Raw genomic sequence first — 18,064 nt, forward strand, 5'->3', positions numbered from 1 at the left:
GGGTGGTCCATGGGGCTGGGCGCCGTGGAGCAGGGGGCGGCGCTCATCGAGGAGGCTCGGGCCGCACAGGAGCCCACGGATTGGGTGGGAGGTTCAGGCATGGCGGGCTGCAGGTCCCGAGCCCTGCCGCGCGGGAAGGCAGGTAAGGTCCCGCTAGAAATCAAGCGCAGCGCCAGCGGGCCGGCACTGCTGGGGGACCCAGTACACCCTCTGCAGCCGCTGGCCCGGGTGCTAACCCTCTCATTGCCCGGGCCGGCAGGGCCCTCCGGCTGCTCCGAGTGCGGGGCCGCCAAGCCCACGCCCACCCGGAACTCCAGCTGGCCCGCAAGCGCCGTGCGCAGCCCCAGTTCCCGTTGGCTCCTCTCCCTCCATACCTCCCTGCAAGCTGACAGAGCAGGCTGTGGCCTTGGCCAGCCCAGAAAGGGGTTCCCACAGTGCAGCGGTGGGCTGAAGGGCTCCTCAAGTGCCGCCAAAGTGAGAGCCCAGGCAGAGGAGGCGCTGAGAGCGAGCAAGGGCTCTGAGGACTGTCAGCACGCTGTCACCTCTCACTATTGTGAGACTTCACGTTGTGATGGTGTGAGTCAATACTCCTTATTAAACTTTCTTTCATATATACATCTATCCTATTAGTCCTATCCCTCTAGAGAACAGTGACTAATACAATATCCTTTTCCAAATTTATATGTAAATTATATCTTAATAAAGCTGTTGTCTGGGCACAGTGGCTCACACCTGTAATCCCGGAACTTTGGGAGGCCAGGATGGGCAGATCACCTGAGGTCAGGAGTTCAAGACCAGCATGGCCAACATGGTGAAATCCCATCTCTACTAAAAGTATAAAAATTAGCTGGTTGTAGTGGCAGATGCCTGTAATCCCAGCTACTTGGGAGGCTGAGGCAGGAGAATCGCTTGAACCTGGGAGGCGGAGGTTGCGGTAAGCTGAGATCACACCACTGTACTACAGCCTGGATGACAGAGTGAGACTCTGTCTCAAAAAAAAAAAAAAAAAAAGCTGTTACAAAAAATTATTGTCTAACCAAGGCTACAAAGATTTTTTTCCTATGCTTTCACTAGAAATTTCATTTTTTATCTTATGCTTATATCTATAATTTGTATCCATTTTTGTATATAATGCAATATATTAATAGAAGCTGTTTTTTTAAAAAACATGCATATATAATTATTCCAGTATTAATTGATGAAAAGACTATATTAAATTTACTTTATGTCTTTGCAGAAAAACAACTGTGGGTCTATTTTTAGATTCTCTATGCTGTTCTATAATTGTTTGTCTATCTTGATGCCAATACCACACTGTCTTTTTTGCCATAGTTTGATAATAAGTTTTGAAGTCAAGTACCATAAGTCTTCTGAATCTGCTGTTTTTGAAAGTTGTTTTGAATCTCCTCATTTATATTCCATATGAATTTTAGAATCGGCATATCAATTTCTACCACAAAAAACATGCTGAAATTTTGATTGAGATTGTTTTGGATCCCACATGGTAGTGGCACCTTTGGTAAAATTGACGAACTTACGTGGGCATATTATTATTATCCAAAGTTTACAGTTTACATTAGGTTTCACTCTTGGTATTATACATCATAGGAGTTTGGATGAAAGTCCAAAAAGAATAATGACATTTATCTACCATTATAGTGTAATATGAAGTTTTGTGTTTTACATCTAGTCTATAATCTATTTAGAAATAATTTTTGTGAAAGGTATAAGTTCTGTGTATAGATTCATCAAATGTTTGGCATGTGGATGTTCAGTTACACTACCCGAAAAATCCTCTGTGCTCTTCCTATTCGTTTTTCCCTTCCTCTTACCCTTGGCGATCACTGTTCTTCTTACTGCCTCCATGGCACAAAGTTTTGCCTTTTCCTGAATGTCATATAGTTGGAGTCATGAAGTACTTAGCCTTTTCCGATTGGCTTCTTTCACTTAGTAATATGCATTTAGGGTTTCTCCTTCATGTCTTTTTATGGTACTGAATAATATTTCACTGTCTGGATGGATGTGCCACAGTTTATCTGTTTGCTCAAAAAGTAACATCTTTGTGGCTTCCAAGTTTTGACAATTATGAATAAAGCTGCTATAAACATCCATCTGTAGATTTTTGTAAGTGCAGATTTTGATTTATATAAATAAACACCAAGGAGTGTGAATGCTGAATCACATGGTAAAAGTATGTTTAATTTTGTAAGAAACTGCCAAACTGTCTTCCAAACAGATTGGCTGTACTCTTTTGCATTACCACCAGCATAAGTGGTGAAGAAGTTTCTGTTCCTCCGCATCTTTGTCAGCATTTCGTGTTGTCAATGTTTTAGATTTTGAGCATTATAATAAGTATGTAGTCATCTCATTGTTTTGATTTGCATTTCCCTGATGACATATTATGTTGAATGTCCTTTTATATGCTTATTTGCCATATATAATTCTTGTGGGGTGGCTGTTTAGGTCTTTTGCCCAATCTTTAATCAGATTGTTCATTTTTTTATTGATGAAGTTTAGAAGTTCTTTGCATATTTTAACAGTCCTTTATCAGATGTGTCTCTTGCAAATATTTTTTCATAGTCTGTGACTTGTCTTCATATTCTCTTGTCTTTTACAGAGCAGAAATTTTTAAATATTAACGAAGTCCTGTTTATCAATTACTTCTTTCATAAATTGAACCTTTGGTGTTGTATATAAAAAACCATCACCCTACCCAAGTTCATCTAGGTTTTCTTCTATGGTGTCTTCTAGAAGTTTTAAAGCTTCACATTTCACATTTAGGTCTATGAGCCATTTAGAGTTCATTTTTCTGAAGGGTGTAAGATCTGTGTCTAGATTTATTTTTTTTGCATGTGGATAACCAGTTGTTGCATTGCCATTTGTTGAAAAGGTTATCTCTTCTCCATTGTATTGCCTTTGCTCCTTTGTCAAAGATCAGTTGACTCTATTTATGTGGGTCTATTTCTGGGCTCTCTGTTATGTTCCACTGAACTGTTTTTTTTTTCACCAATATCACACTGTGGTAATTACTGCCACTATATTGTAAGTCTTGAAGTCAGGTAGTATCAGTCTTTGGACTTTGTCTTCTCCTTCAATATTGAGTTGAATCTCTTGCCTGTCCCTATAGATAATAAAATTAGTTCACTCATATCCATAAAACAACTTGTTGGGATTTTGATTGGGATTGTATTAAATCTATTAAACTGACATCTTGATAGTACTGAGTCTTCCTATCCTTCAACATGGCATATTTTTCAATTTATTTCTTTTTTCTTTTTGATTCCTTTCATCAGAGTTTTGTAGTTTTCCTTTTGTAGATCTTGCACATACTTTGGTAGATTTATCTGAGGAGCTCATTTTTTTTGGTGCTAATTTAAATAGTAATGAGTTTTTAATCTCAAATTTCACTTTTTCATTACTGGTATATAAAATGTGATTGGCTTTTACATATTAACTTTATATCCTGAAACCTTGCTATGAAATCACTTATTAGTTCCCAGAAGTTTTGTTGTTCAGATTTTCTCTACAATCATGTCATCTGTGCACAAAGACAGTTTCTCTTCACTTCCAGTTTGTATGCCTTTTTTTTTCTGTCTTCTTGCATTAGCTAGGACTTCCAGTATAATATGTGAAAAGGAGTGGTAATCGGGGACATTCTTGTCATGTTCCTGATCTTAGCAGGAAAGCTTCAAGTTTATCACTATTAAATATAAAGTGGCAGGGCGCGGTGGCTCACTCCTGTAATCCCAGCACTTTGGGAGGCCGAGGCAGGTGGATCACTTGAGGTCAGGAGTTTGAGAGCAGCCTGGCAAATATGGTGAAACCACATCTCTACTAAAAATACAAAAATTAGCCGGACGTGATGGTGTGCGCCTGTAGCCCCAGCTACTTGGGAGGCTGGGGCAGGAGAATTACTTGAACTCGGGAGGTGGAGGTTGCAGTAAGCTGAGCTTGTGCCATTGCACTCCAGCCTGAGTGTCACAGGGAGATGCCATCTCAAATAACAATAATAATAAATATATATATATATAAAGTTAGCTTTGGGTTCTTTATTTTTTTTTTAAATCAAGTTGAGGAAATTATTCTCTATTTTTAATTTGCTGAAATTTTTTTTTTTTTAAGCCATAAATGGTTTTGGATTTTGCAAAATGGTTTCTCTGGACCCACTGATATGATTGCATCATATTTTTCTTTAACCTGTTCATGTGATTGATTATATTACTTCATTTTCAAATGTTGAGTCAACCTTACATATCTGGAATAAATCCCACTCAGGCATACTTTATAATTCTTTCTATACATTCTTGCTAATATTTTGCTGAGGATTTTTGCATCAATGTTCATGAGACATATTGGTCTGTAGTTTTCTTGTAATGTCTTTGTCCGCTCCTCTGCCCTGTCAACCACAGCTATCTTGGCCTCCTTGAACTTCCAGCTTTAGCTCCACCCAGAGAGACTGCTGATTCCACCTCAGTTTCTCCTCACTGCACTTCAGTCTGGAAACTTTCTCCAGATAATACACTGGGCTAATTGTGTGGCACATCTAATTTTTTCCTCATCTCTCAGGGATTACTCATCTTTCCTGACTATTGTTCAAATTGTTAACGATGACTGTTTCATAGCTTTTCTATTTTTTAGTTGTTTCAGGAAGTAGAATAAATCTAGACACTCTCCAGTATGGCTAAAAAGAGTAGTCTTCCTTTCTTACTTTTAACCAAAAAAAGCCCCTCTTTACCCAATTGCTTAGCTTGAACCCAAGTTGCAAAACACAAAGGCGCCCATTGGAGGAAGAAATAGACTTGGGGAAGAAACTATAGTAGTGAACCAAGAAATGAACCAAAGGAAGAGTCAGAAAGAAACTTGAATCACTTATCTGTCAGTCTGAAGGCAAACAGACCATACTTAGTCACTTCTTTCTTCCTCAGTCTACATCACTTTAAAGTTACCTTTTAATTAACTTTCTATGAAAATATATTTTAAGGTAACTTAAGTTTCCTTTTTGCTAGTCTAGGCATTTGAAGGTAGGTGTTCAGACCCCAGATTAGATGCAAGCCTAGTAATGCAGAATTTAAAAAAGTAAGAGGGAACAGGACCAAATTGAATTTTGTGAGAAAACTAACATTTCAGGCAAGGCTTGATCATCTTGAGACCTCATTGCCAATTTTGTTTTGAAATCTATTACCAATGAGGTGATTTCAACATGACAACATGTATTTTGAAAAGGGACCCAATTGGGAATGAGTGGAAACAGGTATTTGTAAAGTAAAAGTTAACTTAATCAGCAAAAAAACTCAAAACAAAAATTTGAAAAATAATTTAAATGAAAAATTAAAGTTTATTATAAAGGGTTAGAGATAAGCATTTATAAGTAGGGTTTAAAAGCTCACATAGAGGCATATATTTTCTTAAAGAAGTCATGTTAGAATCATTTTGCTAAAATATCACATCTGTCTTACAGAAATTACAACAGAAAAGCAACAAGATTACAAAATCATTTCAAAATAAATATTGTACCAACCTAATGGAAAAACATCTGTGCTGTTTTAGCTTATTACAGCAGTTTGTCATGACAATTTATAGATAAGTATGCAATTTTTCTTAGATTTATTATTGGAAACTTCTACTTATAGGTCTGTGGTTTAAGACAGGAAATGTGTTTTGATTGATTATCCTGAAAAGAAATTGGTAGGCCAAATGTTGAAACCATGAAAACATTAGGAGATGAAGTAACAGTTGAAAAAATGAACTGCACTTTGGAAGAACTCACAGGAGTAGTGATGATTGTACCACTAAATCTTGTGCTTGTTTACCAAAGTTGAGAGAGAAAAATTTCAGTTGAACTAGTATGTAGAGTGATACTCTGGTTTCTCTTGAGATGGTATAAATCTTTTGCCTTTTACTAGTATGTAGAGTGATATGAGAATTCCCTCTAATAGGCAAGTGAATGGAGAGTAGATAATATAACAACTGAGAAAATATAATCCTTAACCCTTCAAAAGAAAATATTTCTTCAAGAAGTGGGTACAAGCAAAGCAATTCAATAAATTAGAAATACATTATGATTATAAGGACAGTGCATTTAGAGTTCCCAATGACCTGATTTAACTATTAAAAATATACACAGGCAAACCATACACTAAATCATAATAGCCGATTTTAGAATTCCTCTCAGGAAGAGCACTGTCTTAGCTTGAGTGGCTGTAGATAGTAAGATCCTTAGGATATGGGTTGGTAGGCACAAAGAATAAGTACATCTTCATATAATAACAAACAAGCATGTAACAAACAGGAATTTGGTAATTGAGAGGACAGCAGAAATGAGAGAAAAGAGAAAGTAAGAGAAAGTTGAATTACATAGTGAAATTCTGGAGCCCAAATTGGGGAAAAGATCTCCAGAGCTTTTTAAGTACAGTGGTCTAATACATGTGATGTTTTCTGCTGTTAAGAGCTGTAATATAGACTTCTTTACCTTACCCTGAAATTTCATTGAAGTCTGCTGCACACATGCCTTGTATCAATTAAATTTTAGAAAAAACAAAGGGGCTGTGTTCCTTTTCTCAGATGAGATGGTGAAACACATATCTAACAGGAACACCTTCTGTAGACACCAGAACTAAACCAGGATCAAACATCATTAGAAAAAACATGTTAGTGCTGTTTGCATTAACTTATGTCTCCAGATTGTGAGGGATGCAGAGATCCTTGCTTATGAGAGGGAGATTCAATCAATTTTATTTGAATTTCAGAGATCACCAATGGGTTTTGATGATGAAATCTCATTTCTCTTACTTATTAGCTGTATGCTCTTAGGCAATTCATATAAATCTTCTAACATTCTAGTTATTAAAATGTGGGTGATGCACTTATAAAATTTATTGTAATAATTAAATGTAATAAAGTTAAGTGAAAGTTTCTGGCATATACTAAGTGTTCAATAGATATTAGGCAGAAGTAGTAGAAATTAGACAAGAAAAGAGTTGAAAATAGTAATTGAAAGAGCAATATGTTATTCTTAACATAAACTCTTATGGGTTACTACTATCTTCCAGGCACTGTTCTAGACATGGAGCAATTTAGCATTGAGTCAAACAGGAAAAGTTCCTCCTTTCTTGGTAATTGTACTATACAAACTCAATGAAGATTTATTTTATTTTTTTACCAGCTGTGAAATAACATAAAACTTAAAGTATAATGAGACAAATTAAATGTGTAAAGCATGAAATAGTTTTTTCCTCTTTTTAAGTCTGCAAAATAGAACCTGAAGCAACTTATTACCTGTGCATCAGTGTTTTCACATGAATGTTGTTGCTAATCCTCTGAAAAGTGGAAAATAAAAATGAAGCTCTCTAATCAGAGCTGATTTTAAAGGACAAGCGTTATTTTAATACGAAGAAAATACAAGAAAATAATATGTTGTAAAGGGAGATTTTAATTAACTCTTAGAAGAGTAATTAGGTAAAAAGCTTGCAAATAACAATATTTAGGTAAGGTTAAAAAGAATAAATACACATTCAATTGTTAGTAGATTAAGACTGAAGCAAAACTGAATGTGCGAAATTAAAGTAGAAAATACTTCTGTTTCCGGAACCAAGCCGGGTCAGGCTGTGTTTTCTCAAGGCCCAATAACGAGAAACAGACAAACTAGGGAAGAAGGGAATTTATTGCTGTAACTGGATACAGGGAGAAGGCCAGAGATAATTCCACCAGACCAAGTCAAAATGTTACAATTTTCTTAGTGCTTATATAGGTTGGGGTTACGTGCCTAGGTGCCGTATAACATTCGCCTAAGTTTGTTGGTAACTAATTTTGTTTCAACTAGAAGATCAGAGGCAAAAATGCTTGCTAAGTCCAATTAAAAGGGCCCCAGTACTTCCAAGGCCTGTCTACTGTGGTACCAGGGTGATTATTTCTATCTTATCTTTTTTACAGCTTAGTCTGGAGAGCTGCCTTAGACTCTCGAATGAATCTATTCAAACAGCTGCCTCTGTTACCTTGACTTGTCTCAGATATGGGTCCTGGCACCAGGAATGAAAGACAAGTCTCTATTATTTTGGTTTGCTCCAGGTTAGGGAGAAGCCCATGCAAGATTTCTACTGACCATATGTTTCATTTCTAGCTTTGATGTCTGGGCACTGATTTCCCTAGGCTTAACTATTTGCTCAATGTTAAGGCAGCTCTGTGGAAATTTGTCTGTGTAACTTAAGTGCTATGCAGGCCTGTCTGTGTGATTGTCATACAGACCTTTCTGTGTGATTGTCAGGGAGAATTGGCCTGCCACACTTCCATAAAATATTATGCATGTAAGACCGGGCACGGTGGCTCACACCCATAATCATAACACTTTGGAAGGTCGAGGTGAGTGGATCAGTTGAGGCCAGAAGTTTGAGATAAGCCTGGCCAACATGGCGCAACTGTCTCTCTACTAAAAATATTTTAAAAATTAGCCAGCTGTGGTGGTACATCCCTGTAATCCCAGCTAATTGATAGGCTGAGGTATAAGAATGGTTTGAACCTTAGGGTCGGAGGTTGCAGTGAGCTGAGATTGTGCCACTGCACTCCAGCCTGGGTGACAGAGTGAGACTTTCTCTCTAAAAATAAGTAATAATAATAATAATAAATACACATGTAAGATGTTTAATGTAACATTCAAGTGAGTTCAAAATTTTTTTCCATTTTTATTCTTTTTTTTTTTTTTTTTTTTCTGAGACAGAGTCTTGCCCTGTGCCCAGGCTGGAGTGCAATGGTACGACCTCTGCTCACTGTAACCTCTGCTTCCTGGACTCAAGCGATTCTCCTGCCTCAACCTCCCGAGTAGCTGGGATTACAGGCGCCTGCCACTACGCCTGGCTAATTTTTGTATTTTTTAGTAGAGATAGGGTTTCACCATGTTGGTCAGGCTGGTCTCGAACTCCCGACCTTAGGTGATCTGCCCGCCTTGGCCTCCCACAGTGCTGAGATTACAAGCATAAGCCGCCATGCCTGGCCCCCTTTTTATTCTTTAAAGTATATCCTAAAGTTAAATAACTTCCATGACGTTTCTTTCAACTGTAGTGGATGAAATATATTGGAATAGTCTGCAGAGGCTTTTCAGTTATGATAGGATAACTGGATCAAGTTAAACCTGTAGCAGAGGGCAGATGTAGAATGTGGATAAACAAAGCAAAACAAACAGTAGTTTATAAGGTATTAGATTACAATTAAGGCAAATGAGTTGAACTACGAAGATATCAGAAAGGAAGGAACAGCATTGAGGTGAATTCTACATTTGTGACCACTTTTCCCTTTGGGCTACTTGTCAACTATTACTTGAGGGCATGGAACCCCCAAAAAAGATGTGGTATAGATTTTATGTTTGTCTCACTGGGCTGAAGAGAAATCAGTTGGAGTTGAGGGCTAGCAAGGAAATCGAGAATAAATGGGTCAGGATCCCAAAGAAAAAAGAACTGCAGAATAGTAAATACCTATATTCTGCATACAATTTTTTATCAAAGCATTTTTTGGCTCTAGAAGTGTACAAGTTCAGAGAGGGAAATGAAGAAAGCAGTTGCTAATATGCTAAAAAAATAAACAGAAAATACTACAATTTTATGGACTTTTGAGAAACAAAGTGGAGTGTAGTCTTTGCCAAAAACAGGCTATGGTAAACAACACAGGCTTTCACTTAATACCCTTGAAATAACTAAACCTAAAAGTAAGGACAAATGAAAATAGGTACACCTCAACTAGATTAAAGTGATTTGTTTTATTTATTTATTTATTTATTTTTTATTATACTTTAAGTTCTAGGGTACATGTGCACAACGTGCAGGTTTGTTATATATGTATGCATGTGCCATGTTGGTGTGCTGCACCCATTAACTCTTCGTTTACATTAGGTATATCTCCTAATGCTATCCATCCCCCAGACCCCCACCCCACAACAGGCCCTGTTGTGTGATGTTCCCCTTCCTGTGTCCCAGTGTTCTCATTGTTCAATTCCCACCTATGAGTGAGAACATGCGGTGTTTGGTTTTTTGTCCTTGAGATAGTTTGCTGAGAATGATGGTTTCCAGCTTCATCCATGTCCCTACAAAGGACATGAACTCATCCTTTTTTATGGCTGCATAGTATTCCATGGTGTATATGTGCCACATTTTCTTAATCCAGTCTATCGTTGATGGACATTTGGGTTGGTTCCAAGTCTTTGCTATTGTGAATAGTGCCTCAATAAACATATGTGTGCATGTGTCTTCATAGCAGCATGATTTATAATCCTTTGGGTATATACCCAGTAATGGGATGGCTGGGTCAAATGGTAATTCTAGTTCTAGATCCTTGAGGAATCGCCACACTGTCTTCCACAATGGTTGAACTAGTTTACAGTCCCACCAACAGTGTAAAAGTGTTCCTATTTCTCCACATCCTCTCCAGCACCTGTTGTTTCCTGACTTTTTAATGATTGCCATTCTAACTGGTGTGAGATGGTATCTCATTGTGGTTTTGATTTGCATTTCTCTGATGGCCAGTGATGATGAGCATTTTTTCACGTGTCTGTTGGCTGCATAAATGTCTTCTTTTGAGAACTGTCTGTTTATGTCCTTCGCCCACTTTTTGATGGGGTTATTTTTTTCTTGTAAGTTTGTTTGAGTTCATTGTAGATTCTGGATATTAGCCCTTTGTAGGATGAGTAGATTGCAAAAATTTTCTCCCATTCTGTAGGTTGCGTGTTCACCCTGATGGTAGTTTCTTTTGCTGTGCAGAAGCTCTTTAGTTTAATTAGATCCCATTAGTCAATTTTGGCTTCTGTTGCCATTGCTTTTGGTGTGTTAGACATGAAGTCCTTGCTCATGCCTATGTCCTGAATGGTATTGCGTAGGTTTTCTTCTAGGGTTTTTATGGTTTTAGGTCTAATATTTAAGTATTTAATCCATCTTGAATTAATTTTTGTATAAGGTGTAAGGAAGGTATCCAGTTTCAGCTTTCCACATATGGCTAACCAGTTTTCCCAGGACCATTTATTAAATAGGGAATCCTTTCCCCATTTCTTGTTTTTGTCAAGTTTGTCAAAGATCAGATGGTTGTAGATGTGTGGTATTATTTCTGAGGGCTCTGTTCTGTTCCATTGGTCTATATCTCTGTTTTGGTACCAGTACCATGCTGTTTTGGTTACTATAGCCTTGTAGTATAGTTTGAAGTCAGGTAGTGTGATGCCTCCAGCTTTGTTCTTTTTGCTTAGGATTGTCTTGGCAATGTGGGCCCTTTTTTGGTTCCATATGAACTTGAAAGTAGTTTTTTCCAATTCTGTGAAGAAAGTCATTGGTAGCTTGATGGGGATGGCATTGAATCTATAAATTACCTTGGGCAGTATGGCCATTTTCACGATATTGAGTCTTCCAATCCATGAGCATGGAATGTTCTTCCATTTGTTTATGTCCTCTTTTACTTCATTGAGCAGTGCTTTGTAGTTCTCCTTGAAGAGGTCCTTCACATCCCTTGTAAGTTGGATTCCTAGGTATTTTATTCTCTTTGAAGCAATTGTGAATGGGAGTTCCCTGATGATTTGGCTCTCTGTTTGTCTGTTATTGGCATATAGGAATGCTTGTGATTTTTGCACATTGATTTTGTATCCTGAGACTTTGCTGAAGTTGCTTATCAGCTTAAGGAGATTTTGGGCTGAGACAATGGGGTTTTCTAAATATACAATCATGTCACTTGCAAACAGGGACAATTTGACTTCCTCTTTTCCTAATCGAATACCCTTTATTTCTTTCTCCTGCCTGATTGCCCTGGCTAGAACTTCCAACACTATGTTGAATAGGAGTGGTGAGAGAAGGCATCCCTGTCTTGTGCCAGTTTTCAAAGGGAATGCTTGCAGTTTTGCCCATTCAGTGTGATATTGGCTGTGGGTTTGTCATAGCTCTTATTATTTTGAGATATCTCCCTTCAATACCTAATTTATTGAGAGTTTTTAGCATGAAGGGCTGTTGAATTTTGCCAAAGGCCTTTTCTGCATCTATTGAGATAATCATGTGGTTTTTGTCTTTGGTTCTGTTTATATGCCTGATTCCATTTATTGATTTGCATATGTTGAACCAGCCTTGCATCCCAGGGATGAAGCCCACTTGATCATGGTGGATGAGCTTTTTGATGTGCTGCTGGATTTGGTTTGCCAGTATTTTATTGAGGATTTTTGCATCGATGTTTATCAGGGATATTGGTCTAAAATTCTTTTTTTATGTTGTGTCTCTGCCAGGCTTTGGTATCAGGATGATGCTGGCCTCATAAAATGAATTCGGGAGGATTCCCTCTTTTTCTATTGATTGGAATAGTTTCAGAAGGAATGGTACCAGCTCCTCCTTGTACCTCTGGTAGAATTCAGCTGTGAATCTGTCTGCTCCTGGACTTCTTTTGGTTGGTAGGCTCTTAATTATTGCCTCAATTTCAGAGCCTATTATTGGTCTATTCAGGGATTCAACTTCTTCCTGGTTTTGTCTTGGGAGAGTGTATGTGTCCAGTAATTTATCCATTTCTTCTAGATTTTCTTGCTTATTTGCGTAGAGGTGTTTATAGAATTCTCTGATAGTAGTTTGTATGTCTGTGGAATTGGTGGTGATATCCCCTTTATCATTTTTTATTGCGTCTATTTGATTCTTCTCTCTTTTCTTCTTTATTAGTCTGTCCAGCGATCTATCAATTTTGTTGATCTTTTTAAAAACCAGCTCCGGGATTCACTGATTTTTTGAAGGGTTTTTTGTGTCTCTATCTCCTTCAGTTCTGCTCTGATCTTAGTTATTTCTTGCCTTCTGCTAGCTTTTGAATGTGTTTGCTCTTGCTTCTCTAGTTCTTTTAATTGTGATGTTAGGGTGTCAATTTTAGATCTTTCCTGCTTTCTCTTGTGGGCATTTAGTGCTATAAATTTCCCTCTACACACTGCTTGAAATGTGTCCCAGAGATTCTGGTATGTTGTGTCTTTGTTCTTGTTGGTTTCAAAGAACATCTTTATTTCTGCCTTCATTTCGTTATGTACCCAGTAGTCATTCAGGAGCAGGTTGTTCAGTTTCCATGTAGTTGAGCGGTTTTGAGTGAGTTTCTTAATCCTGAGTTCTAGTTTGATTGCACTGTGATCTGAGAGACAGTTTGTTATAATTTCTGTTCTTTTACATTTACTGAGGAGTGCTTTACTTCCAAGTATGTGGTCAGTTTTGGAATAAGTGCAATGTGGTACTGAGAAGAATGTATATTCTCGTGATTTGGGGTGGAGAGGTCTGTAGATGTCTATTAGGTCCTCTTGGTGCAGAGCTGAGTTCAATTCCTGAATATCCTTGTTCACTTTCTGTCTTGTTGATCTGTCTAATGTTGACAGTGGGTTGTTAAAGTTTCCCATTATTATTGTGTGGGAGTCTAAGTCTCTTTGTGTGTTTCTAAGGCCTTGCTTTGTGAATCTGGGTGTTCCTGTATTGGGTGCATATATATTTAGGATAGTTAGCTCTTCTTGTTGAATTGATCCCTTTACCATTATGTAATGGCCTTCTTTGTCTCCTTTGATCTTCGTTGGTTTAAAGTCTGTTTTATCAGAGACTAGGATTGCAAACTCTCCTTTTTTTTTTTTTTTTTCCATTTGCTTGGCAGATCTTCCTCCATCCCTTTATTTTGAGCCTATGTGTGTCTCTGCACGTGAGATGGGTCTCCTGAATACAGCACACTGATGGGTCTTGACTCTTTATCCAACTTGTCAGTCTGTGTCTTTTAATTAGAGCATTTAACCCATTTACATTTAAGGTTAATATTGTTATGTGTGAATTTCATCCTGTCATTATGATGTTAGCTGGTTATTTTGCTTGTTAGTTGATGCAGTTTCTTCCTAGCATCGATGGTCTTTACAATTTGGCATGTTTTTGTAGTGGCTGGTACTGGTTGTTCCTTTCCATGTTTAGTGCTTCCTTTAGGACCTCTTGAAGGGCAGGCCTGATGGTGACACAATCTCTCAGCATTTGCTTGTCTGTAAAGGATTTTATTTCTCCTTCACTTATGAAGCTTAGTTTGGCTGGATATGAAATTCTGGGTTAAATTCTTTTCTTTAAGAATGTTGAATATTGGCCCCCACTCTCATCTGGCTTGTAGAGTTTCTGCTGAGAGATCAGCTGTTAGTCTGATGGGCTTCCCTTTGTGAGTAACCCAGTCTTTCTCTCTGGCTGCCCTTAACATTGTTTCCTTCATTTCAACTTTGGTGAATCTGATAATTATGTGTCTTGGAGTTGCTCTTCTTGAGGAGTATCTTTGTGGCATTCTCTGTATTTCCTGAATTTGAATGTTGGCCTGCCTTGCTAAGTTGGGGAAGTTCTCCTGGATAATATCATGCAGAGTGTTTTCCTACTTGGTTCCATTCTCCCCATCACTTTCAGGTACACCAATCAAACGTAGATCTGGTCTTTTCACATAGTCCCATATTTCTTGGAGGATTTGTTCATTTCTTTTTACTCTTTTTTCTCTAAACTTCTCTTCTCACTTCATTTCATTCATTTGATCTTCCATCACTGATACCCTTTCTTCCAGTTGATCAAATTGGCTACTGAAGCTTGTGCATTTGTCTTGTAGTTCTTGTGCTGTGGTGTTTAGCTCCATCAGGTCATTTAAGGACTTCTCTGCACTGGTTATTCTAGTTAGCCATTCATCTAATCTTTTTTCAAGGTTTTTAGCTTCTTTTCAATGGGTTCAAACTCCTCCTTTAGCTCAGAGAAGTTTGATCATCTGAAGCCTTCTTCTCTCAACTCGTCAAAGTTATTCTCGGTCCAGCTTTGTTCTGTTGCTGGCAAGGAGCTGCGTTCCTTTGGAGAGGGAGAGGCGCTCTGATTTTTAGAATTTTCAGCTTTTCTGCTCTGTTTTTTCCCCACCTTTGTGGTTTTATCTACCTTTGGTCTTTGATGATGGTGATGTACAGATGGGGTTTTGGTGTGGATGTTCTTTCTGTTTGTTAGTTTTCCTTCTAACAGGCAGGACCCTCAGCTGCAGGTCTTTTGGAGTTCACTGAGGTCCACTCCAGACCCTGTTTGCCTGGGTATCAGCAGTGGGGGCTGCAGAACAGCAAATATTGCTGAACAGCAAATGTTGCTGCCTGATCATTCCTCTGGAAGCTTCCTCTCAGAAGGGTACCCAGCCGTGTGAGGTGTCAGTCTGCCCCTACTGGAGGGTGCCTCCCAGATAGGCTACTTGGGGGTCAGGGACCCACTTGAGGAGGCAATCTGTCTGTTCTCAGATCTCAAACTGCATGCTGGGAGAACCACTACTCTCTTTAACGCTGTCAGACAGGGACATTTAAGTCTGCAGAGGTTTCTGCTGCCTTTTTTTCAGCTATGCCCTGCCCCCAGAGGTGGAGTCTACAGAGGCAGGTAGGCCCCCTTGAGCTGCGGTGCGCTTCACCCAGTTCAAGCTTCCAGGACGCTTTGTTTATCTACTCAAGCCTCAGCAATGGTGGGCGCCCCTTCCCCAGCCTTGCTGCCACCTTGCAATTTGAGCTCAGACTGCTGTGCTAGCAATGAGTGAGGCTCCGTGGGCATGGGACCCTCTGAGCCAGGTGTACGATATAATCTCCTGGTGTGCCATTTGCTAAGACCATTGGAAAAGCGTAGTATTAGGGTGGGAGTGACCCAATTTTCCAGGTGCTGTCCATCACTGCTTCCCTTGGCTAGCAAAGGAAATTCCCTGACCCGTTGCGCTTCCTGGGTGAGGCAATGCCTTGCCCTGCTTCAGCTCTCCCTCAGTGGGCTGCACCCACTGTCCTGCCCCCACTGTCTGACAAGCCCCAATGAGATAAACCCGGTACCTCAGTTGGAAATGCAGAAATCACCCATCTTTTGCATTCCTTATCCTGGGAGCTGTAGACTGGAGCTGTTCCTATTTGGCCATCTTGGAACCCACGCTGGTGATTTGTTTTTATGTGCCCATCTCAGGAGATGAATTAATATCATCCAGAGCTTCTACAGTGTTTCATATGCCATGTGAAGTATTCAACAAAAGTTTATCAGACATGCTAGGAAATAGGTCCAAACGATTGGAAACCTAGAAAACAAATGCTAGAAGTAGAATTGCAGATGACTCAGAAATTGAAATAAGACATGGACTTAAAATAACTATGACTCATGCTGAAGAATCAACAGAACTGGAATTTATAAAAATGAAAGAAAAGGAAATACTAGAACTGAAAAGAATAACACCAAACTCAGGAATTGGATGGATGAATTTAACAGCATATTAGATATAGCAGAAGACAGGATTGCTGAACTGAAAAATAGATCAGTAAAACATACACAGATTGAAGGGAAAAGAGGTTAAAAAAAGATACAAAATACAGAAAAGAGACGTATTAGGCAAAATGAAGATGTCTAGCATATAAGTAATTGAACTACTGGAAGAAGAAAACGAAAAAGGGACAGAAGCAATATTCAAAGATACAGGCCAATAAATAATTTTTGAAAACTTGTAAAAGATATTGGCATAAATTTTAGACACTCTGTGAATCAAGTGGGAGAAATACAAAGTAAACTATGCTTAGGTACATCATAGTAAAAATGCTGAAAACTATATTATAAAAGAAAATCTTAAAATCAGCTAGAGAAAAACACAAATATGCTTTCAAAGAAGGAACCATAATCCTTTTCAACAGAAACAATGATGGCTATAAGACAAATTGATTTTTTTAACTATAAGAAAGCAATTGCCAATCTGTTTCTATATGCAGTAGAGATGCCATTCCAAATTGAAGATGAAAAAAATTTCAGACAAAAAACGAACAAATTTATCACCAGCAGTTTTCATTAAAGGGACTACTAAAGAGAATTATCCAGACAAAAGGACAATAGATGGAAGTACAAAAACAGATGAAGTACAAAAAAAAAGGAGAAAGAAAGATCATGGTAAAAGGTAAATATATGGGTAAAAATAAATAATATACGCAAAAGTGATAGTGTAAAGGAATGTCAAAAATATTTGTAGAATTAAAATTCATGTCAAGAATAGAGGAAAGGTAAAGTGTGAACAATTCTCAAACCATATGAAAAATGGTAAAAAAAAAAAATGTAGATATAAATCAAGAAGAAACATGTAAATTTTTACCCATGCCTATGTCCCGAATGGCCTAGGTTGCCTTCTAGGGTTTATATGGTTTTGAGTTTTACATTTAAATCTTTAATTCATCTTGAATGAATTTTTGAATATTGTAAAAGAAAGAAGTCCAATTTTAATTTTCTGCATGTAGAAGACAGTGTGGCGATTCCTCAAAGACCTGGAAATACCATTCCACCCAGTGATCCCATTACTGGATATATCCAAAGGGATATAAATCAGTCTACTATAAAGACACATGCATGCATATGTTCATTGCAGCATTATTCACAACAGCAAAGACATGGAATCAACCTGAATGCCCATGAATGATAGACTGGATAAGAAAATGTGGTACTTATACACTGTGAAATGCTAAGCAGCCATAAAAAGAATGAGGTCATATCTTTTGCAGGGACATGAATTGAGCTGGAGGCCCTTATCCTTAACAAACTAACACAGGAAGAGAAAATCAGATATCACATGTTCTCACTTATAAGTGGGAGCTAAATGATGAGAACACATGGACACATAGATGGGAACAACACACGCTGGGGCCTTTCAGAGGGTAAAGGGGGTGGCAGGAGGGAGGGGACCCTCCTATATATAACTAATGGGTTCTAGACTCAATATCTGGGTAATAAAATAATTTGTACAATGAACCCTGGTGATGCAAGTTTACCCCGATGATACATACCTACGCTTGTAACCCTAATCTTAAAAGTTAAAAAGTAACAACTGTGTAAATCACTAGGGGAAACAATATAAAAAATAATATATTTCTACAAAAAATGGGGCAAATGGATGATAAAAATAGTTGATTAGTCTAAAATTCCATGAAAATAGATTATAGGAAAAGAAAAACATAGAGACAAATAGAAAAAAAATAGGAAAATAGTCGATTTAAACCCAAATGTCCTAGTAATTCTATTAATTGTAAGTAAATTTAATATTTCAGTAGATTTATAATAAAACCCAACTATAAGAT

The 18,064-nt window shown here is 38.1% G+C and overlaps 1 long non-coding RNA gene across 2 annotated transcripts in view; it reads left to right on the top strand.

Annotated features, from left to right (window-relative positions):
• The first annotated feature begins 483 nt into the window (after nt 1-483).
• LOC105377356 (uncharacterized) overlaps nt 484-18,064 on the top strand; it is a 288,441-nt gene continuing 270,860 nt past the window's right edge. For both annotated transcript variants that reach the window (XR_939051.1, XR_939053.3), the window contains exon 1: nt 484-576. This is a non-coding gene — a long non-coding RNA (uncharacterized LOC105377356). The remainder of the gene's footprint in view (nt 577-18,064) is intronic.

Source organism: Homo sapiens, chromosome 4, assembly GCF_000001405.40.
Source record: "Homo sapiens chromosome 4, GRCh38.p14 Primary Assembly".
Taxonomy (NCBI): domain Eukaryota; kingdom Metazoa; phylum Chordata; class Mammalia; order Primates; family Hominidae; genus Homo; species Homo sapiens.